We start from the raw sequence: 26,840 nt of genomic DNA on the forward strand, positions 1-26,840 counted from the left end.
TTTGTCTCAAAAAAAAAGAAAAAGAAAAGAAAGAAAAAAAACCATGCAAAGAGCTTGTACATCTCTGTCTTTTAAGGAGTGTGCCTGGATTTTGCTACAGGACATTTCTGCTGACATTCCAATGGGCCAGAATTTATTTGGCTCTAAATATAAGTGGCCACCCACTAGTATATTTGTTCCAGGTATGGAGTTGTTGCTTCATTCCTCTTCCTTTCAGTATATAAACTTACTGAAATTCCTTAGGCTCACATTTAGGGAAGTAACATGCGACAATAGTAATAGCTAACATTTATTGAGGATTAGTGAGTGCTAGATATTCTTGGAAGTGCTCTGTGTGTACTAACTCATTTTACCCTCATATGTCCCCGTTTTACAGATGGGGCCAAATTAGAACCCAAGCAGTCTAATTTAAGTATGGGCACTTAACCATTATTCTAAATTGCCACTATAATTAAGACGGCAACAATTGTACCCTGTTATTATTTATGGATCATCTTACGCCTTTACTACAAAAGGAACATTCCCTTATCACACCGGGCATGCCTTGATTTTCTTCTCACTATTCCAAATCCCAGTGAATGTCTTTTGCAAAAAGGACACAAAATCCTGGATGCCATTTACTATAGCACTGCAAAGATAGCAGCCAGATAATTCTTTATTTCAATTTCACATTTACCATCTCCACATCTGCTGCTTTCCAACAAATGCATTAATGCACCCTAGTTTTGCTCTGTAGTTATTTATTTCTGGGCATATGTTAACCACCACATAGGGAGAGGGGGGCAAACATGTGATGTGATTCCCTGAGCACCATTCACCCTCACTTCTCATCCACAGCTGCTTTTCACTCAGAAGAGTGGAATGTTGAGAAAAAGAATCACAGACATAGTAGAGAGTGAAGTAGGGGGACCGTCAAGGTGAGAGAGAAGCAGTAACTTGCATTTGCGGAGTACCCATTGTAGGCCAGACACTGTGCAAGGCCCTTTCCATTAGAACGGCTCTGAAAGGTAGGCCTTGTATTATTTTAGATCTGACATCCTGCAGCTTTGGTCTGCCCAAGGTCACTGGTGAGTAAGCTCCAGAGCTGAGGTTCAAGCTCAGGACTGTCTGGCTTCCAAGTCCAGGTTCTTGACATGTCATCAACTACCTCTGAAGTACCAGAAATCTTGGCTGGGCAAGTTTGAGAGCACTGCTCCACCGTTGATTCTGTTCTCCTAGCTGTTACAGACCAGTTTCCATCTTCCCAAATTTCCCTGGGATCTGTCTGTCTTCCTGCTGGACTCAAAATCCAGGCCTCATTCCACCACACACCAGCTTTTTGCTGCTCCTCTCCTGCTGGGTCAGAAGATCTCACAATATATATTCATAGAGAAAGTGGATTCATGGCTATTGGAAGTAAGATTTGGTGTTTACAAGCATGGGTTTTTCCTTGACTCTCCCACTTACTATCTGTGTGAGCTCAGGCAAGTTGTTTAAGTTCTTTAGGCTTCAGTTTCCTCATTTGTAAAGTGGGGAGACCCATACCTCCCTCTGAGGGTTGTTATAAGACTTAGAGCCAGAGCACATGGGATTTTTCTTTTTCCATTGCCTGTACTGGGAAAAGGTGAGGGTTATGAGGGAAGGACAGTTCTAATAAAAGGAAAATTGGCCAATTTTTGGAGTGAATCTGGCTTTTCAGTTGTTAAAGGTCCATATCTAAGAGAAAATCATCACCTGACTGTTGCCACTTGTAAAAGTGATACCACCCTTTCCTCAGGGCTCAAGACCAGGACAGAGTTAAATCCTGGATCTGGGTTCAAGAGATCTTCCCACCTCAACCTCTTGAGTAGCTAGGACTATAGGTGTGCACCACCATGCCTGGCTAATTGTTTTTAATGTTTTGTAGAAACAGGATCTTGCTATTTTGTCCATGCTGGTTTTGAACTCCTGTCCTCAAGCAATCCTCCTGCTTTGGTCTTCCAAAAATGCCGGGATTATAGGCGTGAGTCACTGTGTCCAGCCTCATGCCTATTTTTGAAACAAGGACCTATCTTTCATCTTTGATTCCTTCCTTCCTTCCTTCCTTCCTTCCTTCCTTCCTTCCTTCCTTCCTTCCTTCCTTCCTCCCTCCCTCCCTCCCTTTCTTCCTTCCTTTCTTTTCTTTCAAGTTTTGCTCTTGTTGCCCAGGCTAGAGTGCAGTGGCACAATCTCGGCTCACTATAACTTCCGCCTCCTGGATTCAAACAATTCTCCTGCCTCAGCCTCCCGAGTAGCTGGGATTACAGGCACCAACCACCACACCTCGCTAATTTTTTGTATTTGTGGTAGAGATGAGGTTTCACCATGTTGGCCAGTCTGGTCTCGAACCCCTGACCTCAGGTGATCCACCTGCCTTGGCTTCCCAAAGTGCTGGCATTACAGGCGTGAGCCACTGCACCCGGCCTGAATTATTTCTAAGAATAGTAAGGTAAACTCCAGAATAATTAGGAAAACGAAGTTACTATATTGCCAATAATGGAAGTTATGAAACAACTTTAAGTCCATTATAATAAAAATATACATTAACAATACATTGGTCAGGCATGGTGGCTCACACCTGTAGTCCTAGCACTTTGAAAGGCTGAGGCGGGTGGATCACCTGAGGTCAGGAGTTCAAGACCAGCCTGGTCAACATGGTGAAACCCTGTCTCTACCAAAAATACAAAAATTTAGGCCAGGCGCGGTGGCTCACGCCTGTAATCCCAGCAATTTGGGAGGCCGAGGGGGGTGGATCACGAGGTCAGGAGTTCAAGACCAGCCTGGCCAAGATGGTGAAACCCCATCTCTACTAAAAATACAAAAATTAGTGCTGGGCACAATGGCTCACACCTGTAATCCCAGCACTTTGGGAGACCAAGGCAGGTGGATCACCTGAGGTCAGGAGTTCGAGACCAGCCTGATCAACATGGAGAAACCCCATCTCTACTAAAAATACAAAAAAAAAAAAAATTAGCTGGTCATGGTGGTGCATCCCTGTAATCCCAGCTACTTGGGAGGCTGAGGCAGGAAAATCACTTGAACCTGGGAGGCGGAGGTTGCGGTGAGCTGAGATTGCACCATTGCACTCCAGCCTGGGCAATAAGAGTGAAACTCTGTCTCTAAAAAAAAAAATAAAATAAATACAAAAATTAGCCAGGCATGGTGGCAGGCGCCTGTAATCCCAGCTACTGGGGAGGCTGAGGCAGGGAATTGCTTGAACCCGGGAGGCGGAGTTTGCAGTGAGCCGAGATTGTGCCACTGCACTCCAGCCTGGGTGACAGAGCAAGACTCTGTCTCAAAAAAAAAAAAAAATTAGCCAGGTGCGGTGGTGCGTGCCTGTAGTCCCAGCTACTCGGGAGGCTGAGGCAGGAGAATCACTTGAACCCAGGAGGCGGAGATTGCAGTGAGCCAAGATTATGCCATTGCACTCCAGCCTGGGTGACAGAGCAAGACACCATCTCAAAACAAAAACAAAAACAAAAACGTTACGCCATGTGTAATTAAAAGTGTTGGTAGCATTTCACAACCATCTGCCTTTTGTTTGTGCATCTATCAGTATTTCCAGGCCTCAAGGATGAGGCAGGGACTAAGAATAATTTATTCATTCTGTAGAATTCTTTACAAAATTCATACTCTTGCTCCATGAAGAGTCTGAGACTGATTCTTGTCATGGCTCTGTGAACTTGGCCAAGTCCTCTGAACTCTCTGAATCTTGGCTTCCTCAACTGGAAACTGAAAAGAACAATTCTGGCCCCTCCAACTTTATTAGGAACCTGGAGAGGAGCTAATAAAATGCTGGACATGGCCGGGCATGGTGACTCACGCCTGTAATCCCAGCACTTGGGTAGGATGAGGCAGGCAGATCACAAGGTCAGGAGTTCAAGACCAGCCTGGCCAACATGGTGAAACCCCATCTCTACTAAAATACACAAATTAATAGGCCAGGTGCGGTGGCTCACGCTTGTAATCCCAGCACTTTGGGAGGCCGAGGCACGTGGATCACCTGAGGTCAGGAGTTCAAGACCAGCCTGACCAACATGGAGAAACCCCGTGTCTACTAAAAAAAATACAAAAAATTAGCCGGGTGTAGTGGCGCATGCCTGTAATCCTAGCTACTTGGGAGGCTGAGGCAGGAGAATCTCTTGAAGCCGGGAGGCGGAGGTTGCAATGAGCTGAGATCGTGCCATTGCACTCCAGCCTGGGCAACAAGAACAAAACTCTGTCTCAAAAAATAAATAAATAAATAATAAAAAATAAAAATACAAAAATTAGCCAGGGGTGGTGGTGCACACCTGTAGTCCCAGCTACTTGGGAGGCTGAGGCAGGAGAATTGCTTAAAGATGGGAGGTGGAGGTTGCAGTGAGCCAAAATCATGCCATTGCACTCCAGCCTGGTGACAGAGCGAGACTCTGTCTCAAACAAAACAAAACAAAACAAACAAACAAGAAAACTGCTGGACACAGAAGTCCACCTGAGCAGCCTAAAGTAATAGATGGAAGTTAAGGATTAATATGATGATCTGTGAATATGTGTCTGAAGTGGAAATGAAAGAAAAATAAGAAACAGAGACAACGTAGTCAAAAGGAGTAACGGTGTTCCCTGATTTGCCATGTATTAGCTGAGTGATCCTAATCTCTCTGGGTCTCAGCTTCCTCATCTGTAAAGTGGGGATTATAATAATAGCTGCTCTTTCCATTTGATAAGACTATTGTATCAAATGGGTCAGTGAGTGTGAAAATGTTACTTGGAAGAGACCATCTAACTGTTAATTATTATTAATACTGATAGTAGTTCTCCTAGAAGAAGTTCCAGTGTTCTTCCAGGGCTTCAACTAGTTTGGTCACCTTTGGAAATGAAATCTATCTTTTGAGATCACACGGTAGTCACAGGCAGGGACTGAGCCTAATGAGTAGGAGCCTGGCTCCTGGCATGACACTGCTAGGATTCAAATTTCATCTCTGCCACTAATAGGCTATGTGATCCTGAGCAAGCATTTAACCCTTCTTTGACTTAGCTTCTCCATCCATAGAATGGGGATGATAATTATGTAGTCTCTTACCTGCTGGAGTTGTAAGAATTAAGTGCCATAATACATGTGTGCTATCCAGTACACAGAAGATATTTGTAGGTATCTTTATTCTTGGATATAGGGTATTACTCTCGGGTATTCTTGGTGGCACCTTGGCCCCATACTGCCTAATTTACAACATTTGCTGTAACTTTAACTTATCAAATAGCATCCCAGAGTAAGCCTGATACTAGAAAAATATGACTGAATGAAAAAGCATCTATATCTACAGCTACATGGCTGAGGCCCTTTTGGCTCCTACTAAAACCATTTGCTTTCTTTTTGAGACAGACTCTAGCTCTGTCACCCAGGCTGGAGTGCAGTGGCATGATCTTGGCTGCAACCTCCACCTCCCTGATTGAAGCAATTCTCCCCGCCTCAGCCTCCCGAGTAGCTGGGATTACAGGTGCCCACTACCATGCCTGCCTAATTTTTGCATTTTTAATAGAGACAGGGTTTCACCATGTTGGCCAGGCTGGTCTTGAATGCCTGAGCTCAGGTGATCTGCCCGCCTCGGCCTCCCAAAGTGCTGGGATTACCGCCGTGAGCCACCATGCCTGGCCTTCTCCATTTTAGAGCCAGCAAGCCAATCATATTTCAAGGCCTCTGGTCCCCTTTTGTGAAAGAAATCTCTAGGTAGGGCAAGTTTTCCACCCTCCTCCAGCTCCTGCAGTTCCAGAGCAGTTTCTAACCTGCTGTCACAGAGTGAGGATTTCCATGTCCTTAGGCAGTGGATGAATGAGAGGGTGAGTGAGAAGCTAAGTTAGATAATGGCATCATTAGGTAATAAGTTAGTGCACAAAGATCTACATGGAGGTGATAAGGTGGAAGGAGCAGGGGGTAACAGATGCATAAATCTGTACTAGGGATTTTTTTTTTTTTTAAAGATACACTTTCAAAAAGCCATTCCAGGCTGGGTGCAGGGGCTCATGCCTGTAATCACAGCACTTGGGAGGCCAAGGTGGGAGGAATGCTTGAGCCCAGGAGTTCGAGACCAGCCTGGACAATACAGTGAGACCCCCATCTCAAACAAATAACATAAAAAAAAAAATAAAGCCATTCCAGGCAGAATGGAGAATCACAGAAACTTATCAAGTCGAATAATGAAATTCGTAGGGCTGCAGTTCTTAAACTTGAGTGTGCATTAGAATCACTTGAAGGGCTTGTTAAAACATTGCTGGGCCCACCCCCAAAATTTCTGATTCAATAGGTCCAGAGTGGGGCCTCAGGAATTGCATTTCTAGTTAGTTCCCAGGTGACGTGGGGACCACAATCACTGTCATAGGGAATCTGAGAAGAGTTGCTGTAAGGCTGTCTTATTAGAAATGGTCCTCAGACGTAAGTGAGGCCCAAGAAAGAGTCCAAGGAGCTACAGAGATAGGAGAGTCCAGGGGCTTCCCACAGCCTGGACTTCCTGAGCCACAACAAATGGGGCCTACTAGTGTGTTGGTGGCATGATTGAACATATAGGCTGACCAGGCACTCTCACCCATGAGACTCTCCTTATCCAGACCTTGGCTGATATGTGGTGGCGGGGGGAGTTTGGGGGAAAGTGTTCAGCGTTTCCTCTCAAACGACAGGGCGGGGTGGGGTGGGGTTGGGAGGAAGGAGCTCGCAGGAGAACTGCTTGATACTTCCCGCCCCACCGCGGTTAATCACTGTCTAGAGAAGCCGAGGTTAAGTGGCTCTGACCTATCACCCATCCCGCTTAGGGTCCAGCTCAGAGAGCGGGCGCATAGGGCCTGGTGGAACAGGCTGCCCTCTGGGGATGGGGGATTGGGGCCGCTGCTCCGGGCAGAGCCGCGGGATCCGAGCCAGCAAGGATGCTGGGACTCGCCGCGACTTCCGCCTCTGGCGATCGGCAGTGGGGGGCGCACCAAGACAGCAGTTCGGGAGCTGCGCTTTGTCACCGAGGCGGCGAGGGGCGGAGGGCGCAGAAAGGGGCCGCGGAGAAAGGACAAGGCGGCCGACCAGCTCCCAGGATGGAAAGGGACCCTCAAGGGGCTCCAGGCAGCACCTGGGGCAAGGGGAGGGACTGATACTCCCGGCCGGAGCCCAACCTGTGGCGCGTGCTTCAGTCCTGAGCCAGCGGCTCCCTGGCTTCTGGGCTGGCATCCGTCCTACCCTCCTCCCGCTGCAACACGCCCCTGATAGCCGCTCCCCCACCCTCTGAAACTCACCCGCACAGACTCACCGCCAGGCTTCTGGGCTGGGATCGCGCAGTCCCTCCACGTCGCGGCGCCCTGAGGCCCCTCCCGGTGAGCCACCCGGCCTTCGTGCCTTGCTCCCCGGATACCAACCTCACCTGGCTCCCGCGCGTCGCTCACCGCCCGCGGGGACAGCGGCCGCATCCGCCCAACCCACTTGGGAAGGGGGATCCCTATCTGGGTCTTTCAATCATACCCAAGGCATCGCAGTTTTCTGTCTGGGTGTTAGGGAAAGCAGTCCATGGTCCTGGGGCACGGCGTTAATGTCAGAGGAGAATCTGGCCCTTGGAGTCTGGACAACTTGCGTTAAAATCCTGGCTTGGCCTCTTCCCCACTGTGTAACTCTGAGCAAATTCCTCAACCTCTCGGGGAGTCCGTTTTCCCGCTGCACGACGGGAGGGACTGTGCCTCGTCGGACGCTCAGAAGCTCAGTAGGAGGGGAGTGGGGACTAGTCTGGGCCAGGAGGGGTCTCTAGGCAAGTCAGTCCCCAGAACTCCGCATAGAGAGAGTTTTCCATTTCACGGGAGGGAGAGGCTAAGCCAGCCCAACCAGCTGGACTTCCTTGCCTGGGGTGGGGAAAGGGGGCGTCGGGGCAGTTCTCTCATCCCACACCTGGTAAACCGACTCCTCTACTCCTTATTAGGCGCCACCGAGTCTTCCGTCTTCCGGGCCCAGGAGAGGGGAAGGGGCTTTGGCCTCCTCAGCTTGGGAACTGAGAGAGACACAGGGTCAGAGAGCACACAGAGACAGAGAGACACCCGCACCCTGGAGGAAGAATTTTGGGACCATCGAGTTGTCCTCTACTACTCCACAGCCCGAAATGATGCCTCCACCCAGATTTGTGGTCCTGCATTGCCCTTGTTGGGTGGCCCTGACAGGCGCTGCAGTGGGCAGGTTCCCTCTTACAGTGCAGGGGTGGAAGAGGGTGGAGATGGTGCCCCATGGCAGGGGACTGGGAGTAGGGGGAGCAAGGTGGTCAGGTTTGTCTGGCCCTTGGATAGCCCAGTGCTTGGAAAGGATTTGTGCCTGGACAAAATCTATTAAAAACAAACAAAAGATCCTGAAAACATATCCTCCCCTGACCCCACTCCAATCTCTTCTCAATAATGTAAATGAAGCAATGTTGTAATACAGTGATAATAACAGGACAGTTCCCTGGACTCTGGGTTTCCTTTATCCCAAAGGAAGGTCAGCCCAAGCCGAGTCCTGTCTTTTACAGGAGAAACCCCAGCGGGGTGATTCTCTCCCTGATGCAGGTCCAGAGCCTAGAGGTTTGGATGGAGGCACATGCAGAACATAAAGGATGTCCCCAGCCAGGTTGCAGGTGTGACCAGGCCTGGCCAGACTCTTGGGTTTTGCCCCTTGGACCAATCAATCCTGGAGGTCAATTTGAAGGGGGTAGCAGCCATGTAAGGGAAAATACCCTGGTAAAGGGTACTCTATGAAATGGCTCAGGGAATTGTGCCTGGAGTATGGTGGCTCCAAGGGTGTGGGGGATCTGGGAACTGAAGGCCAACTTCTCTGCCTCTGCATTTTCGTGGGAAGAGGGCTGATGGCTATGTGAAGGGGCCATACCTAAGAGGTTAAAACTGCCTGGGTGACCTTGGTGAGTCCTGCTCCTTTCCAGAAATGTTCTCAGGGCCTCAGTGGATTGCAATGGTCAGAGAGGGACTGGGCTTTGTCTCTTAGGGTCTCCAGGATCAGCAGCTGCACTGATATTTCTGACATTCTGGCCTCAGGCCCTGAGACCCTTCCCACATGCTTCGGCAGAGCAGTTCTCCTACCCTACATTCCTGAGGGTGGCTCTCCCAACCCCCTCCATGAGTTAATCTAGAAATGAGGTAGAGAAGAGGCCTTGGTCACAAAAAATCACAAGATAAATTTTTGGAAGAGAAGTCTCAGAAGGCAATGCTTAGCACCTTCCTAATTCTCAAATTGTGAAAGTGGCCTTTGAGCTGGAGGGAGGGGTTGAATCCTGATGCTCATTTACACATCAGCTTTCTGTCTGTGCTTTGGGTTTCTCAGCCACAAAATAGAGATGATTCATGCTGTCTTCCTCAGAGCCTGTTGTGAGGCTGGAGAGCTAATACATGTGAAACGCTTAGAGCAGTGACTGCTCTTATCATGTGGGAACTCCAGACTTCTAAGAGGGATTTCTCTTTGCCCTCCTGGAAAAGTATGTGTGGTGTGGGTGAGGGATGGGGGTGGCAGGGTGAGGACTAGTCCATCCAGCTGTGTGGGCCCTGAGCCTTCCAGCCATGCAGGTGCTTCTAAGGGCAGGAGGGACACTCTCTGAGAGGCCCACAGACCTGCCTAAACCCCAGTAAAGGCTGAGGCTTTGTGGAGGGTTGCCTTATGGAGAGTTAAAGCATTGCTGGGGGTTGAGGCATCCCTGAAGGCCAGGGAGGGACATGGCCTTGGAAGGGAGACTGAGCTTGGTTTGACACTCAGCCCTGACCTAGCTATCTGAGTCAAGACCACTAGTCATTCTACAACTGTAGGAAAAAATGCACTGTGGACTCTTGAGGCCTTTTAAAGGACTGTTAAATTAAATGAGATTGTTAGATTAAATGAGAAATGGGTGTTGATGTTCTTTGTAATAAAAGCAAACTTCAGGACAATAATGAAGAAGAAGAATCCATAGCATCTCTGCTAGGGTTGAGGAGGGAGATGTCTGAGCCTTTGGGTGCTTGGGTGTTGGAGAATTGCTCTTGGACACAAACTGCACTGGGCCCTTCCAGTCAGTGGCTGAGGTGGCAGCAAACCTTGAGCTTGGGGAGGTCTTCAGCTGCCAGTCTCACCCTGGGTCCTCCAGCCCTAGGATGGGCCAGTGGTGGGAATGGGGATGTGGACCAGACATCCTTAGCACAGGGCCAGGAAGCTACCAGGCTGGCCTTAAGGAGCCCAGGCAGACAGGTGTACAGGCAGGAGTGCAGCAGGGTCAGCTGCCTCCCAGGACCTGGCCCTCCATTCCAGGAGGGTGGAGAGGAGGGGGCACTCTTCAAAATCAGAGTTCCAGAAGCCGCAGTTTCCCCCTGTCTGAAGGAGAAAGTGTTCCACGGTGCCTGCCACAGTTACACAGCTGCCACCGACTTTCTCAGCAGATTCCACTGCAGTGCAAGGAGGTGACAGGAGTGGTCAACCCTCATCTACCTGCAAGTGTGAGATCCACTCGACCTTATTCCCCAGGGGTGCACCCAGCAGTGGCACTAGGTTCCCAAAAGGGCATCAGCAGCTGCCAAGGCAGAAGGGGGAAGCGGGTCCCAGAACCACCCACCTCCGGCTGTCCCCACCGCGAGGACCCAGCAGTCTGGCGCCCCCACCACGGCCTGGAAGATGACGGAGGGCCCAAGACTAATATTCACGACAGCCAGACCACGCTTATTGTTTAGAAGGAAGCTCCCTTTGTTCTTACTTTTTAACCAAAGAGAAGCGAAAACATTTTTTTCCTGATCACATTTTCACCGACACCTGAGCCGACAAGCCAGCTCCTGGCCCCCGGCTCAGGACTCCTCGCTCTCTCCCTTCTCGGGGCCCTGTCGCCGTTGAAAGGCCCGCTGCAGGCTGGGGAGGGTGATCGGGGCCGCGGGCCATCTCCCCCGAGCCGGGCGGGCAGACTGCGGAGGCAGGCCCCACACGCGCCGCTTTTCCGAGCCCGGTTTTCTTCAGGAGCGAAGCTGTTCCAGCTGACCCGCGCGTCTGGGGGCCTATGCCCGGCTTCCGATTCCATTTAAAACGACCCGCGCATCTTATCTCCGTCGCCTCCCCGGGGTTCCCACCCACCCCCCTCCGGCCCGGGCCAGGCCAGCCCAGCCCCGGCGGAAGCCAAGCTGGGAGCTTTTGAAGTCCGGAGAATTTCAATCCGAGAGGAGCCGGCTGGACCGGAGCCCGTCGCCCCAGCGGGGGAAGGGACGGGGGGCCTGCCGTGTGGCAGGTGGGGGATGGGTGTCCCCCGCCGCGAGAAATGAGAAGCCGCCGGGCCTGGAGCGGCCTCCACCTCAGCTGCTATCACCCCCTCTCCGCTGTCATGGGATTGCCCAGGCTTAATGGGGTTGTGCAGGGCTTCACTTGCTCTCGGAATTTACCTTCCTTCTCGAGCCGTGCCGCGAATAACCTTCACGACACAGTGATAACGATGTTATTAAATACTCCCCCCACATTCACCGCCCAAAAAACCAAAACAGTGTTCTTATCCAGTCCTCTCTTTTTTTGTCTTCTTTCCTTTAAAAACCCAACCGCTCTTAATGTGAGGTTGATGAAAGGATGCTTTTGGAAGAAGTGACATTTGGTTAAAACGTTTTCCCCCTAATGCGCCGGTGGAAAGGGGCGGGGGTGGGTGTGGTTCCCTAGGCTCCTAAGACTGGCCAGTCAGCTTTGAAAGAGCGGGGCAGAAGTCGGGAGAGGGCTGGGGAAGGCTTTGGGCTGAGGGGATGTGTCCCTGAAGCTTCAGATCTGGAGCCCAAGGGAGGCAACCTCCCTCTGAAAAGCCGGTCCTCAGCTCCATCCAGCCCTCTCCGCGGGATGTAAGCCCTGCTCCGTAGGGCCCGACCCAGGAAGCAGACTAAGTGGCACTCCTTGATCTCTCACTCCTACTCGGCTTTCATCTCACCCAGAAGAAAAGCGGATCAAACAGAGGATTCCCATTGAATGCAGAGCTGGGGGCGGGGTGGGGAGCCAGGAGTCCCTCTGAGGACCCAGCCCCCAGGAGATGGGGGCAGCAGGCTACTCACGAGAAGGTTAAGCGCTCAAGGAGGAAAGGAGGGTGGGCACCTCAAAGGCCCAGTGCTGGAGGGCCCTATAGAGAGTAGGCAACCTTGGAAGCTCTAAGACAGATGCCCAGGGGGCTTGCCATTGACAGGAAAGAGAGCAAGCCAGGTGCTCCCTCAGGCTGTGGCTGCTGGTAGGGAGGACAGAGAAAGATAGAATACCTGGACAGCTCTCCAAGGCAGGAAAAGGTTCTAGGATTTGACTCCCCTCACTCCCAATTGATCCTCTCACCTCTAAAACATTTCCCTGGATTTTGGGGCTAGCAGTGCTCAGCATATAGTGGCTTCAGGAGTCCCAAGGAGTAGAAATATCTATGTGGACACTACCTTCCGGATCCCGCTGCCTCCGCCCCCAGGCAAGATTAATGAACATCGTCTTAGACTGAAAGAGAAGTGGAAAGCCGGAGTGAAGAGGAAACTTTGTCTTTCTTTGGACCCCTTACTTCCTCTACCTTCCTTAACCCTATGGATAGGAAGATGGAGGAGAGAAGCAAAGAAGGAGAAGAATACAGAAAGAGAAAAAGGAGGAGAGAAAAGTAGGAGATAACAGATAAAAAGGTCACGGAAGAGGACTTACCTGTAAAAGCTGGGGCTTTGCTAGGGACACAGAAAGGAGGGAGGTGCTGGGCTGCCCTTTGCAGCTGGCTGCCTAGGGCTAGAAGCTCTTCGGGAGGAGGCGGAGAAAGGGGGGTTGAGCATAGAAGGTGCCCACCTCCTGCTCTCAGCAATGTGGGGATAGACTCAGCCCACCCACCTGGCCCCAGCACACTTGCTTGGAGCTCAAAAAGGGTCAGTTTGAAGGAGTTTTATACCAGCTTCTTCCCTGGGAGAGGAGCCAAGAGAGGCCTATGGCAGCTTCCAGATATTAAGTTCCACAACCCCTGCCCCCACCTCCAGCCCTTCATCAGAGTCCCTACTTACTTGCTGTTTTAGGGCATTTTCAGCGACTTCACTCTCTTCTACCTCAAACGCCATCCACTTTTGGAGACAGGTACCACTGCCCCTAGGCAGGGACTTGGGAGAGGACCTTATGAGTCAAACCTCTATGAACCCCAACCTTTTTGTACTCGGGGAGGCTGAACCCCTGCCCAAAATAGCGCGGTGAAAGCTACTGCCTTCTCCCAAGTAGGGGCCTCCAGTACTGCCACAGCAGGGGCCGCATTCCTGGCGCCTCTTCATTCGAAAAACCTCTTTCCAGGAGACTTCGCTGATTCTGAACGAATACTTTAAAATATGGGCAAGGGAAAAAAAAAGACAACTCTTAGAAACTCTCCCCACCCAACATACCTGGAGTGCAGGCGAGGTCCAGGCAAACGGGAAAGCGACTTCTTGTACGAATAGCCATCTCAAGATGAAGCCAGGCTGTGGAAAACTTAAGGCCATCTAGATGGGAAGGAGGTATTTAAAAGAAATCAGCACACACTCTTACAGAAGCCAAGGCGGGTCTTTAAATTAAAAAATAATAATAAGGTATTTATTTCTTGCCCCTTAGGGAAGAAAAATAGCAAAGTTTGGTTCGCAGGAGTAAGGAGACAGAGGTGGGTAGGGAGAGGGAGGAGAAAAGAGGAAAAGATGGCCCAGCCTCAAGCTCTCCAGTCAACTTGGGGCGGGGGAATACATTTTTCCGTAGCTTGTAAAAAGACTTTTCAGCCAGTTTGAGGTTAGCTGCCAGGGGCAGACAGTTGTAATAATGCCGACAGAATTGAGGCTTGTAAGCCGGGCTTCACACTTCTAAAATGCAGTTATGGATTCTTTCATCGGTGTTAGATCAAGGCACCAAGTTAAGAAAACAAAAGTCAAAACAACAATAAAAGAAAAAATCAAAAGCTTATTTAATTACCGAGTCCCGCTGCCCCTGCGGAACTCGCCGCGCGCGTTAAGCTCTCTTTTCTTTCTGCGGAATTCCATTTGCATCCCCTCTGCCTGGGTGTCTCCCTCTCTCAGTGTGTGTGTCTCTCTGTCTGTTTTCACACTCTCCTCCCCAATCGAGCGAGGCCCACACCTGGCGCATCACTGCCGAGCCATTAGCTGCGGGTTTCCTTTCATCTTCGCTGTGGCAGACGTTTCTATTTATCCACTTGCGCTCGCCGAGTGGCGTCACCAGCGGTACTGTAATGACGATTGCAGCAGGAGGATGACAGCTTAGAAAGAAGAGGGCAATGGGGCTTCCTCCCAGAGGCGGTGCGGCACAGAGGAGCGCTCGCTTCACAAGGTGACCCTAGCTCCCACCGCCACCGCCGCGGTCGCGGTCCAGACCGCGCTCCAGCAGCTCCGCGCCCTCCCAGGCACCCGGCCTTTCTTTCTCCCTCTTGCAACCAAGATCCGTCCGGCCGCTGGAGACCCAGGGAGCCGGGGTTAGGAACTCACTTGGGGCTTTCCCCTCCCCCACCGGAGAGCCCCGGGATGGAGAGCCGAAAGGACATGGTTGTGTTTCTGGATGGGGGTCAGCTTGGCACTCTGGTTGGCAAGAGAGTCTCAAATTTGTCCGAAGCCGTGGGCAGCCCGCTGCCGGAGCCGCCCGAGAAAATGGTGCCCCGTGGTTGCCTGAGCCCTCGGGCCGTCCCTCCGGCCACCCGGGAGCGCGGCGGGGGAGGCCCGGAGGAGGAGCCGGTAGATGGACTCGCAGGCAGCGCGGCGGGGCCGGGCGCCGAGCCCCAGGTAGCTGGGGCGGCCATGCTCGGCCCAGGACCCCCGGCCCCCTCAGTCGACAGCCTCTCCGGACAGGGGCAACCCAGTAGCTCGGACACCGAGTCGGATTTCTATGAAGAAATCGAGGTGAGCTGCACCCCGGACTGCGCCACCGGGAACGCCGAGTACCAGCACAGCAAAGGTAGCCACCGTGCCCCTCCGCTCCCCGGGCCTCCCACTGCGCCCACCCTTCACTTCGGCGCAGGCCAGGAGGAAGACACTCCCTTCCCCTAGGGCAGGATGGCTGGGGGGACCCACCTGAGCAACTCTCTCTGCTATCTGCGTTCTGGCGGGGGTCTCCTACTGTGTTCTGGCATTGGCGGGACTGAGGGTGACAGCAGTGCCTTGAGTGCGGGGTGCTGAGGGGGCGGATGCAAGTCCTGGACTTGGGGGATTCGAAGCTCACCCCAAGCACCCAGTGTTTCAACTGCTCGGGGAATGCTTCAATTGCTCGGGGAAGACACTTTCCCCAGGCGAGGGCAAGATCAAACGCCGATCCGGGCAGTTTGTGGCTGGCAGGGTGTAAGAGGCATGGAGGCGCGGAAGCCAGGAGTCCATAAAGGACCGTAAAATTGCGGCCCACTTGGGCAGCCCGGGTGCTGCAGCCCTCCGACCAGTTTGCACGTCGGTCAGAGGTCCAAATTACCTTGTCACTTCCCGGGCTTCGCGGCGCCAGGTCGGAAATGGTCCCAATGGTCTAATTGCCTTTGGTCTCCGGTTGCATTTGAAAAGGCAGAGATCGGGTCCTCCCCCCTTCCCCTTTCCTTCCTAGTCCCACTTCTCCACCCAAAGGAAAAGGAGCTGCAGGGGGCTGGAGCCCCACCCTTCTCAGAGGTAGGCCCAAAGGGGGGCTGGTTTAACTGGAGAACCCCTCCCCACCAAAGGCTAATGGGAAAGGGGTGGATAGCCCGGAAGGGAGTTTCCCTCTGTGCCAACAATCACCTCCCCAGAAGGGGGTAGAAAACTGGGCGCGGGTTGGTGGGGGGGAGGAGAGGGGAGCCCACCAGCAGACACTCCTCCACAGAACTGTAGGAGTGGGTGGAAAGAGCCTGGGGGCGGGGGGGAGAAAGACCACCCCCTGGTCTTGGCAGCCAACGCCTTGTTGAATACCTGCACCTACCCCTTACTATCTTATCACCGATTTCACCCAGCCTCCTTCCCATAACCCTCAGAACAACCTGGACTCCACTCACATATACTAAGGTAATAAATAAGATACTCAACATGCATTCTCACTCCAGCCCTGCAATACACGGAACCTAGTACACATTCCCACACCTGTTCTGGCAGCCCGTCACACATAAGAGCAAGGAAACTCTCTGAATGCCCAGCATACTACAATGCACTTGACCCAGAGTTTACAACCCTCTAGCACAAAGGTGCATCTCAACTCATGTGCCTGTCAGAAGTGCACGCCCTGCCAACGGGAGGCAGAAATCTCACCTATGCTCCAGGGCAGGTGGGAAGGGCGGCTGGGAACCCCTGTACCCAGGATGCCTTAGAGGAAGGGAAGGCCTCCCCAAAGACCTCTACCTACCCAATCAAGGGCAGGCCCTTATTTTCCCTTCTTGGGTTCCCCAGAGGCCGCAGTACCCTAGCAGAAACAGTTACTGAGGTGGCTGACAGGGTGTCCCTTCCCAAATCACCCTCCCACCTTAGGCCTACAGCCCCACTTCAATGGCGTTTGTGTGTCTGTGTCTGTACACGCCTGTGCTCTGGACTCGCTGTGCAGGGTCCGGCTCCGAGGCGCTGGTCGGCAGTCCGAACGGAGGGAGCGAGACCCCCAAGAGCAACGGCGGCAGTGGTGGGGGCGGCTCGCAAGGCACCCTGGCGTGCAGCGCCAGTGACCAGATGCGTCGTTACCGCACCGCCTTCACCCGAGAGCAGATTGCGCGGCTGGAGAAGGAATTCTACCGGGAGAACTACGTATCCAGGCCGCGGAGATGTGAGCTGGCGGCCGCCCTAAACCTGCCGGAAACCACCATCAAGGTATGCGGGGTCCAGGCTGGGGAGGCGGGTGTGCACCTATTTAGCGGGAAGTAAATGCCAACTGCCAACTCCCTGAAACGCAGGCCAGGAATCTGGGCCTGGGGTCTCCCTGCCCGGCGCGTGCAGATTGACCCTCGTGACAGCTCCTAGGCAGGCATTGCTGCCATGTGGCTGACTCTGTCCCTTTCCTGGTTAAATAGACAAGGGGTGGGCGTGGGGGAAGGGGATAGAGTGCCTGTGCGGGTGACAAGGAAGTTTCTGGGGACACGCTCTCTGCGGCCGCAGACCAATTGAGTCCATGTCCTTTCACTGCTCCTCCCATACACACACTGGCCTCTGGCACCCCGGGGGCCTGGCCACCTGGGCAGAAGGAAGGAGGGAGCGGGCTGGAGTCACTCCCCAAACCTCTCTCGGAGGGATTCCAGCTCCAGGTGGTGGTGGTGGGGTCGGTCTCTACCCGGCTGGTGTCTGCTTTGGCTGTTCCTGCCCTGCGAACACTGTCCCCGGAGCGGGACCAGACTACTGGCCTCTGAGCATCGGGCCAAGTCCAGCTACTGAACCTGCTCCGCTCCTCTCCCCAGGTGTGGTTCCAGAACCGGCGCATGAAGGACAAGCGGCAGCGCCTGGCCATGACGTGGCCGCACCCGGCGGACCCCGCCTTCTACACTTACATGATGAGCCATGCGGCGGCCGCGGGCGGCCTGCCCTACCCCTTCCCATCGCACCTGCCCCTGCCCTACTACTCGCCGGTGGGCCTGGGCGCCGCATCCGCCGCCTCCGCCGCCGCCTCGCCCTTCAGCGGCTCGCTGCGCCCGCTCGACACGTTCCGCGTGCTGTCGCAGCCCTACCCGCGGCCCGAACTGCTGTGCGCCTTCCGCCACCCGCCGCTCTACCCCGGGCCCGCGCACGGACTGGGCGCCTCTGCCGGCGGCCCCTGCTCCTGCCTCGCCTGTCACAGCGGCCCGGCCAACGGGCTGGCGCCCCGGGCTGCCGCCGCCTCGGACTTCACCTGTGCCTCCACCTCCCGCTCGGACTCCTTCCTCACCTTCGCGCCCTCGGTGCTCAGCAAGGCCTCCTCCGTCGCGCTGGACCAGAGGGAGGAGGTGCCCCTCACTAGATAAGGGGCCGCCGGCTGGCTGCCGGCTCCATGACGCCCGTGGGGTCACCCCCCGGCCCCGGGACTCAGCCAGCCTCGCTCCTCGCTCCTCGCTCCTCGCCCCTAGGACGCCAAGGGGGAAAGGAGAGGGCGGAAAAGGACCAGCGGGATCCGGCCGCAAGAATTGGAAAGCCTAGGAAGTGGCGGTGGCTGGCGCGTTTGGGGAGCAGGAGTGGGGATAGGGAAGCAGAGCTTGAGAGACCTTCCTCCGGGGCAGCCTCCGGACCCACCGCCCCCCACCAGGGTCGAGGCTGTAGCTCCAAAGCTAAACAAAACTTAGCAGCAACAGCAACCAATATCCAGTCCCTCGGCCCCTCGGCCCCTCACCCTCCACCTCACACTCCCTTCTCACCGGGCCCCCTCTCCCCAGCCAAGGCCCAAGCACTGGAAAGGGAAATTGCTGTCTCTCTGAACAAAATGCTGTGTATGCAGAGCAGGTAGAGATTAATCTTTGCCAGCTTTTCCAAGGCATGACAAGGGGCTGGTGGATGGCAACATACCAGTCATTTGGAGGAGAGAGTGAGAGATGATTTACTACCAGGGAGAATCCAGCCCCTTGGCATGGGACCTGGAGCCTCGACTACACAGCATCTTCTGGGTCTGGCGTCTGCCAGCACCTGATCTCTTTCCTCATTCCCAGCTTTGTGACACTTCTCAACTTGCGGCTCCATCTCTCCCTGCCCCCACTTTTTTGTTGGCCAGGGAGGCTGCAGATGCCCCAGGAGCCCTTTGCCGCTTCTATGAGGCCAAGCCTTTTTTCCCTGGGCCCAGCACACACCCTGATTAGCAAGTGATGTGTGCGAGGAGGGTTTGTGAATGTTGAATGTGTAATAATGATCACCATGGAGCTGGCCACTGACCCCAGAGCTGAGCTGTTAACAAGGCGCCCAGGGAAGAGCTTAGGGAGTGGGAACTTCACCTCCCTCTCTCGGTATCTGGCGGTAAATTAGAGGCAATTTTCATCCTTTGCTTGTTCACCTTCACTTCACCAGGAACTTTCTGGCCCTACCCTTTGCATTGGGTATTTTACAACTTTCTCTCATTTTCTTCCCAAGCTACCACTGGAGCTTGACTTTCAGATACCAGTGGGAGCCTTCTGTCCCTTTTGGGGACCCTGTCTGTGGCCTCCACCAGGGTTTGTTTAGAGCCACTCCCAAATCCTCACTCCCACACTCATCCTTGCAGCCAGTTTTTGAGGAAGAGGAGAACGTGTAACCCCAATGCAAGCTTCACCCTGACTGAGAGGGAGTGGTTCTTCCTGTAGGGAATGAATTTGGTTTGATTTGGGGTTTTCCTTTGAAGCCCAAAGAACTTGCTGTTATGATTCGTTAACCATATTGCAATAAAAGCTGGACATAATTCTCACTTTACATTTTAGTTTTTGTGGCAGCAGGCAGCTCTTAACTGAATTTTAAAGTTGCTATTTCAGCCACCATGGGTTCGAATAGGGAAGGAACCAAAAGATGGACCCACAGAGTCTTCCAAGCCACTGTTTGTCACTGGTAGGCTCCAAGCAGCCATTGCATGGAGGTGGAGAAGACAGGCTCCAAGCTGCCCTGGGGTGCATGTTTCCTTAATTTTGGGTATGTTGGGAACAGTTCCTTGGTAAAGTGGCAGCAGAGTGCTGCCAGGGGCCCACCCCTGTGGTTTCTTCTCCAGTTGTTCCAATCCTTTGAGCAACAGAAAGGGGACCCAGGTTGTGGTCTCTGAGCAACCTGCCTCCACCCCAGCCCAAAGGGAAGGTGAGTGGGGCAGTGGCAGTAGAGCCTGAGTACTGCAGAGACCTGAGTTTTCTGGTCAAACTGGGTCTGCACTTGAGGGTGGAGGACAGCAGGGAGGAAGGCTCCTTGGTTGGGATCATCTTGGTCTGAATTGTCCTCATACTGGAAGTCATCTTGAGGGTGGGATTCTGAGGGGTTAGGACAAGAGGAAAGGAGTGCTCAGCAGCTACCTTCCAGCCCGCACCTGCATCCCCCACAGGAGAGCCAAATGTGGCTGGTTGTGGAGTTCCACTTAAGCAGGGGAGAGATGGGTGCCTTCTGGGAGTCCAGGAGGCTCTGGATTGCATAGACACGAGGAGTCCTCTGCCACTGTCTTTGCCAGCACATAGAGACTCCTCAAATGCCCTCCTCCCTCCTTGGGTTCCACAGCAAATCCTCCTGCACACAGTAGCAGGTGCCCTCCCAAGCAAATTGTGCCCTGAGGTTTCCAGCACCCCCTCTCCTGCAGCCAAAAGCTCCTGAGTGCCAAATCCTGGTAAATTTTGCAGTTGCTCCATATTGGGCAGAGATTGCTTGCGACAGGTAAATGGGCTGCATGTTGCCTTAATGCCAGGCGTATTTTCAGTTAATAGGGAGGGAAAATGAGGTGTCTGCAGAGATATTGGAAAGTACAAGATCGATGATCCAGCTTCGTGTCCAATCAGCAGCCTTTAATTGACTGTATTTTCTGGGTAATTGAGCCTCTCTTCCTCCAAATTGAAGTGGAAGATATAACAATACATCTTGCCAGGAGGAATTACTCATTACTTCATAATGAAATTTCCCTTTTGCCAAGGTTTGCGGTTTGGCGCTAGGCACGACTTCTCACTCCCCCTCTCCCCCCAAATATTCTTAGCCCACTTGCATCAGGCTACCCCATCTGGCATGACACGTTCCATTTGGGTGGTGGCAGGGAGGAAGTGGGAGTTGACTTGAAGAAGATACTGCCCCTTCACAATCACAGCCTCCTTATCTGTAAAATGAGAAGGCTAGACCAGGGCCTAGCATGATGTTGTTTTCATTTTTCAACTCTCTCAGTGTCTCTACTTAGCTTTGCCTCATCTCGGTTCCATTTTGCAGGAGGGAAAACGGAGGCTCCAGGTCTACACAGCTATTAGTGGCCGATGTAGCTATGAGCTCCGGGCTCCCACTTCCTCTTCTCTTACCCTGTTCTGGGGCACAGATTCTGAGGTAACCCCCAGTGAAGCCTGACACCTCACTCCCGACTCACGCTTTCCCAGGGCTCTTCAATCCCGGCCAGCCGGCAGGGCCTGGGAGCGCGGTCCAGCGCCCAGCCCAGATTCGCCCAGTTGGGCAAGGCTGGCCACCCCGCAGCCCGAGTGTGCACCGGCCCCCGGCAATTGCTGGCTTGTTAGCGTGTGATTGATTGCCTTATTAAAGCGTGTTCTTGTAAGTGTGACCAAACTGATTGCATTGCATATGTTTGGGATAATGCTCATTTTAAACAACAGGATAAAGAGGATGAGCTCCGCAGAGCCTTGAAGACAAAATGATTCTGGCTAGCAGCTCCCTAACTATGGCATTAAATTGCTCAGTTACATAGCAAATCGCTACTTGGTTTCTGCATCCTTGTCCGTATTTTTTTTTTTTCTGTCCTACAGTTTGATCCTGTCTCCCAATGTGGCATGCCCCACGAACGGTTTCTTTAGTGATTATGTTGACTCCACCTTCCTAGTTTCAAACCCTGCACCCGCACTCTCCAGACAGGAAGTCCCTCTCCCTCGACCAGGGATTGAGGGAGAAGAGATTCAGAATGCATCTCCTTGCCCTAGGCCTTTCGGGGGGGACATGGCCTTAGACAGTCACCCCGAAATTGGGCTCAGGTCCTCACAGTAAGTCGAGTGTCCCCCCACATCCCCAACCCCGGCCCTTTCACTAAAGTTTAAAAGATTCTTTTGTTCCTCAGGCTTCTCCCGCTTGGTTGCTTCCATTATTCCCCAACTGCGGAAACACCAGCCACCATATGTCCGCCGGAGAATAAGCGTGAGTGTCGCGGTGGACAGTTGCCGCCAAAGGTGTCCAGACGGATGGCATTCTCAAAGTAGGGATCTTAGCATCCTCTCCATACATCATCACCCAAGAATGGTAGAGGAAAGAGTAGGAGTGGGGTTACAGATAGGAGAGAAAGGAGGTTGAGGCCACAAAATTGGCATTTCTCTAATTATCAACCCCCTCCTCCACCATCCTGCCACCATTTGTTATGGCAAAGTTCTCTTTCTGTGCCCCTTCCCTAATAAAGAAATCCTCAGTCAGCCTCCACCTACTCCTTTTGATTTGCAGGAAGCCAAACTGCCAGCAGATTGAGCTTTCTAAGGGATACCTTTGGGATATGTTGGAATTCTGATTTGTTCAAGATGATGACGGTCATCAGTACAAATCAGAAACAATGCCACTCTTCAGGGTGTCATTTGTAAGTGCAATAACACGGATTCATTTGCAAAACCCAGCTAAACTGCGTCTGGATAAGTGACTAGATCCAAACGACAAATTTCTTCCATCACTCAGCTCCTCCCAAGCTCTGCGGGGGCAGCACAGAAGACTGCTTTAGGGTGAAACTAAGGCTCAGCTCACCATTTGTGCCAGCTTGAGGGACCCTGGAAATGTTGACTCTGAGAAAAAGACAAAACAAAACAAAACAAAACAAAACCCAATCACAAAACATATCCTACTGTCTACAAAGCAAACAGAAACACAAAGTTGTTTCCAAAATCACCTTTTCAGCAAATAAGTATGTGATATTCTGAGCAGGAGCAGGAGGGAGAGAAAGACTGCCACTTAAAAAAACATGAAAGCATTAAGTAATAATTTAAAACACGGCTGTTTAGAAAAATATTTATATTTATTGCAGCTGCTCAATTGGCCTCGTTAAAGTCGGCAAGCATTTAAATTGTGTTACAATCTCATTTAAATCCCGTTCCGTTCCAGCAGGCTGAAGAGCTTGAATAGACCAATCACTTCATAATGATGATGAATGAGAAATTAATTCAGATACAAGCAAGACAATTTAGGCCTTCATCTGTTTAAATAGCCTTCCAATATTATTCGCCATCGCGGGTCACAGATTGAATCAATTGTCCAATCTTGTGAAAGTCATATCCTTGCGTCTTCATCGAGATTATTTATAGCGCAGTGAGCGCTGCTGAAAGGTATACGCTGTTAACAGGGACAATTACTTAAAGGGAAGCGTTTGTAAAATGGAAAACAAATGCCGGGGTTGGTAACAAATGGGATCAAAAGCAGCCATTCCAATCTGGCTCCCCGAGGGAAAGGAGCGGGCGTGGCCCTGTAGGATTAGGGGCGCTTCTGACCTCCCCAAGACCCAGGTGAGGCCGAGGGTCCCCGGCGCGCCAGCCTGCGCCGTGGCTGTGGCTGCGGTGGCGACTCGGGCCGGGCCTCGCTCTCGCCGGCTTCAGGTTCCCGCCTCCCTCGCGCAGGCAGCGGGCGCGTGTGGCCCGGGCTGGGCAAGCCGAGGAACAGCGAGCCCCCGGACGCTGACTGCAGGACGTCCCAGTTTGTGCCCGGGTCTCCGTCCCTCCCCGTACGGGGCTCGTACCCCCGGGCCTGGGTCTGACCCACAGGGCGCTGAGGCCTTTGTAGCTGAAGTCGGAAGGCCTCGTTGCGAGCGCGGCACAGGTTGCTGGTAGCTTCTGGACTCTGGAGGCTTGGCCTTCCTTCTAAGCCGATGGCGGGGAAAGAACCTCGTTTCCACAGCTTCCCCGACCCCCGCCGCTTGCCATTTGGGGACGGGAAGCGCGCCCGGGTCGCTTCACGTCCCTCTGGGCCGGAGCCCTTTCCATGGCTGGCTCCTCTGGGGGCCCTTGGGCCTGTGAGCAGCGTCTACTTCCCTCAGAGAAGAATCCTTTCCTTCCCCCATCGAAGTGTCCCTTTCTGTATCCTGAAATAACCCCTCCTGGGTGAGGCCAGTTCCCCTCTGTCGCCCTCCTCCCGCAGGCGTCCGGGAGCCTCGTGAGGACCCCGTGCAGTTGAGTCCAGGCGACAGGTGCCTCCCCAGGTGTCTACTTGCCCTCCCTCAACCTGTTTAGGGAAAGACCAGAACGATGTGCGCGGGGAGGTGGTTTTGTTTCTCCCGAAACTGGCGCTCTTGGGTAAAACCGCGTGCCGCGTCTACGCGGGCTCTGTTAGTGTGCGTGTCCCAGAAGAGTGGGCCTTCTAGGCGGCACTCTTTGGAGAAGTAAGTGAGGTGAACTCAGAACAGAGAAGCGGGAACGATCGTTTGATGTGCCGAGCCGGAAAAAGAGAGGAGAGGGAGAGGCTCCCAGCGAGCGCGGAGACAGAGGAGCCCACGCGGCACAGCACGAGCCCTACTCTTGCCCGCGTAGAGGTGTGTGTGTGTGTGTGTGTGTGTGTGTGTGTGTGTGTGTGTGTGTGTTTTCCTCTGTATTTCTGTGTTTGAAACAAAAGCCCAACTAACGGATTCCTGGTGCTCTGAGGACTCACTCCCGGGAGCGACTTTGATGTATTGCTGTCCAATTAGTGCCTTTAATTGGTGTCCTCGGAGACAGGCAGGCCCGGAGCTGGGACAGAGCCTCCTCTCGCCTCTCCTGCACACTGGAAAGGTAAAATTTATAACACACTGTGGCCACCCCTTGGGAGAGCGAAAGAGAGTGGGAGGCAGGGAAGAAAGGGAGAGATGCAGCTGTTTGCAGAGGACGGAGCCTCCAGCCCCGGGGGTCGTGGGGAAGGGCCCAGACCACCGGGTTCGACTCAGTTTTCTGTGTAAGAGGGTTCGGGCCGGCTGAGTCGCTGAGGATTATGAATTTGCTCGCAGAAAGGCCTAGGGAGCTCTCATTGTCTGTACAAACCCACCCCATGTGGTCTACCATCTCGTTAATAATGGCTGTTTGTTAACAAGGATGCGGAGGTTAAATAATCCGGGTGGAAGATTAAACACGTCTCATCAAGGCGCTTGGAAGCCGCGCGGTGCAGAGACCTGCGCTGGAGCCGCCTGGCTCACTGGAGCCTGGAGGGAGATGGGAGCACAGTCTGCAAGGAGCCCCGGGGTAGAAGAGGAGGCAAGGTCTAGTCTCCCTCTTCAGGGTGTCCTGCTATGCCAGGACAGGTCTAACTCTTCCACATGTCAAACAGAAAATCCACATAGAAGTCAGCCCCAATGAGGTGTGGAGGTCAAACCCTCGGAGTAGTTGGCTGGAGGGCAGACATGGAGCATCTGGGGTCTGAACCAAAGGCCCCCTTTTGAGGAGGGGTGGCCATCCCCTGCCTCCCAGTCCTTACATGTCATGCATCTGGCAATTTGTGCCTACATGGGATTAGCATTGGATTAGAAGACAGAAGATGTGGTTTCTAGTCTGGGTTCTGCCCCTAAATCACTGTAGAATTTTTATTACATTATTCTCCCAGCTTCATTTTTCTACTGTGTAAGAGAAAGGAGATGGGGCTTGATGTAGATGATGTACAGCATTTCTTCTTTTGTCCAGCTTCCCACCAGAGTTAGGGAACTGAACACCTTATAAGATGCTCTGTCTCCCCTAAACCTTGCAGGATGCAGTCAAAAAGAATTTTATTTAGCAAATATCTGAGGGCCTACTCTGCACCAGTCATGGTGCAGTATGTATTTTTTAACTGAGAGCAGAATATCAGTTCATATTCCCCTGTTATTCTCAAATATAATGTTTTATAACAAAAGATGAAAGAGAAAGAACTTCAAAGAGAATAGAATAGGATGGGTATGTATGTACAGGGTAGAGAAACTATGGAGGTAAAGGTAAAGGCATTGACAAAAGCTGTGAAGAACTTGTTGAACTGGCAAGGAAGTCAGTGGATAAATACTGCAGAAGTAGCTCCTTAACAGAGATACTATGTAGGAGAGTAGAGAGAAGGTCCCCTCCTGAATCCTGGTGATTTGGCAGAGAACAAAAGGGTAAGGGTTGCAGAATTTGACTAGGAGGCCCAAGTTGTATGCATCTAATATTGCCAATTTTTGGTTTATATATTCTTTCAGTAGTTGGAATTTCTCTCTCTCTCTCTCTCTCTCTTTTTCTTTTTGAGATGGGGTCTTGCTCTGTTGCTCAGGCTGGAGTGCAGTGGCCCCATCAAGGCTCACTGCAGCCTTAAACTCCCAGGCTCAAGTGATCCTCTCATCTCAGTCTCCCGAGTAGCAAGGGCCACAGGCATATGCCACCATGCCTGGATAATTTTTTTTTTTGGTTGAGGGGTACAGATGGGGTCTTGCTGTGTTACCCAGGCTGGTCTCAAGCTTCTAGGCTCAATGAACCCTCCCACCCTGGTGTCCCAAAGTGTTGAGATTACAGGAATGAGCCACTGTGCCCGGCCTAGGAAGTTTACTCTTTAGCTAATTTTGAAACATTACTTTCTGAATCCACCAATCAGGAAACTCGGCTGCTAGGCTGGGACTCTTCAAGCTTCTGGGTGATGGGCATTTAGCCTCAAGGAAGGCAATGATGCTTAAATCACTAAACCATGTCTCAGTTTCTGTGAGTCAGGAATCTAGTGAGCTTAGCTGTGTGTCCCTGGCTCCAGGCTATTCCACTGGGGTTGTGGTCTTATCTAAAGACTCAGCTGGGTGAGGATATGTTCCGGGCTCACTCATGTGGTTGTTTGGCAGGATTCAGTTCCTTGCTGGTGGGCTATTTGGCTGAAGGCCTCAGTTCCTTCTTGGTGGTTGGCCAGAGGTTTCTCTGTTCCTTACCATATGAGCCTCTCTATAGGGTAGCTTATAAAGTGGCAGCTGTCTTTCCTCAGACTGAGTAAGCAAGAGTGAGAGTGGAGGGGGGAGAAAGCACCCAAGACAGAAGCTACACTCTTTTGGTCATCTAATCTTGGAAGTGACTTTCCATCACTATGCCATATTATATTTGTTAGAAGTGAGTCACTAGATCCAGCCCACACTAAAGGAAAGGGGATTACAGAAGGCATCAAATCCAGGAGGCAGGGATCACTGGGGACTGTCTTAGAGGCTGCTGCCCAGACCCCTTTTATATAACAGCTCTGAGGCTTATATGGTTTTATATTTATGAAGAGCTTAGGACAGCACCTGTTTGCTCTGATCATCAGCATGAGTGATCCTTCTGATCCAATGGAGCACCCATTTCTTCATCTAGACCCTCCTATGTCAACAGTTCTAATTTTTTCCTGCAAAGCCCTGTAAAAGAGTGTAGGAAAGGCAAGACAGTAACTGCTGCAAGGAA

General features: G+C 52.5%; 1 protein-coding gene and 1 long non-coding RNA gene across 4 annotated transcripts, besides 5 other annotated features; one reads left to right on the forward strand and one right to left on the reverse strand.

Moving 5' to 3' along the window:
- Positions 1 to 12,840: 12,840 nt before the first annotated feature.
- Positions 12,841 to 18,641, reverse strand: EVX1-AS (EVX1 antisense RNA). Its single transcript, NR_120507.1, has 4 exons — positions 18,373 to 18,641; positions 13,327 to 13,422; positions 12,961 to 13,053; positions 12,841 to 12,862 (listed from the first exon to the last, which is right to left on the reverse strand). It is a non-coding gene; the product is annotated as an EVX1 antisense RNA (long non-coding RNA).
- Positions 13,832 to 14,709: an enhancer, noted in NCBI's record as "H3K27ac-H3K4me1 hESC enhancer chr7:27282039-27282916 (GRCh37/hg19 assembly coordinates)". NCBI's record gives its function as "activates a minimal SCP1, AML or CMV promoter by ChIP-STARR-seq in naive and primed H9 embryonic stem cells {active_cell/tissue: H9 hESC(naive and primed)}" and the evidence as "EXISTENCE:reporter gene assay evidence [ECO:0000049][PMID:30033119]".
- Positions 14,214 to 19,242, forward strand: EVX1 (even-skipped homeobox 1). Of its 3 annotated transcripts, NM_001304520.2 has the most exons (4): positions 14,214 to 14,814; positions 15,879 to 15,930; positions 16,460 to 16,716; positions 17,298 to 19,242. In NM_001304520.2, exons 3-4 carry the CDS (start codon positions 16,579 to 16,581, stop codon positions 17,835 to 17,837), a joined length of 678 nt encoding a protein of 225 aa, NP_001291449.1. In that variant the 5' UTR covers positions 14,214 to 14,814; positions 15,879 to 15,930; positions 16,460 to 16,578; the 3' UTR covers positions 17,838 to 19,242. The 3 variants fall into 3 exon arrangements, with proteins under 3 accessions (NP_001291449.1, NP_001980.1, NP_001291448.1); NM_001989.5 differs by lacking the exon at positions 15,879 to 15,930 and having other exon boundaries at positions 14,214 to 14,869; NM_001304519.2 differs by lacking the exon at positions 15,879 to 15,930.
- Positions 16,631 to 17,239: an enhancer, noted in NCBI's record as "H3K4me1 hESC enhancer chr7:27284838-27285446 (GRCh37/hg19 assembly coordinates)". NCBI's record gives its function as "activates a minimal SCP1, AML or CMV promoter by ChIP-STARR-seq in primed H9 embryonic stem cells {active_cell/tissue: H9 hESC(primed)}" and the evidence as "EXISTENCE:reporter gene assay evidence [ECO:0000049][PMID:30033119]".
- Positions 17,240 to 17,849: an enhancer, noted in NCBI's record as "H3K27ac-H3K4me1 hESC enhancer chr7:27285447-27286056 (GRCh37/hg19 assembly coordinates)". NCBI's record gives its function as "activates a minimal SCP1, AML or CMV promoter by ChIP-STARR-seq in naive and primed H9 embryonic stem cells {active_cell/tissue: H9 hESC(naive and primed)}" and the evidence as "EXISTENCE:reporter gene assay evidence [ECO:0000049][PMID:30033119]".
- Positions 20,061 to 21,284: an enhancer, noted in NCBI's record as "VISTA enhancer hs629". NCBI's record gives its function as "enhancer in: dorsal root ganglion[4/8]" and the evidence as "EXISTENCE:transgenic organism evidence [ECO:0001131][PMID:17130149]".
- Positions 22,742 to 23,445: an enhancer, noted in NCBI's record as "H3K27ac-H3K4me1 hESC enhancer chr7:27290949-27291652 (GRCh37/hg19 assembly coordinates)". NCBI's record gives its function as "activates a minimal SCP1, AML or CMV promoter by ChIP-STARR-seq in naive H9 embryonic stem cells {active_cell/tissue: H9 hESC(naive)}" and the evidence as "EXISTENCE:reporter gene assay evidence [ECO:0000049][PMID:30033119]".

This window comes from Homo sapiens, chromosome 7 (assembly GCF_000001405.40).
Source record: "Homo sapiens chromosome 7, GRCh38.p14 Primary Assembly".
NCBI lineage: Eukaryota > Metazoa > Chordata > Mammalia > Primates > Hominidae > Homo > Homo sapiens.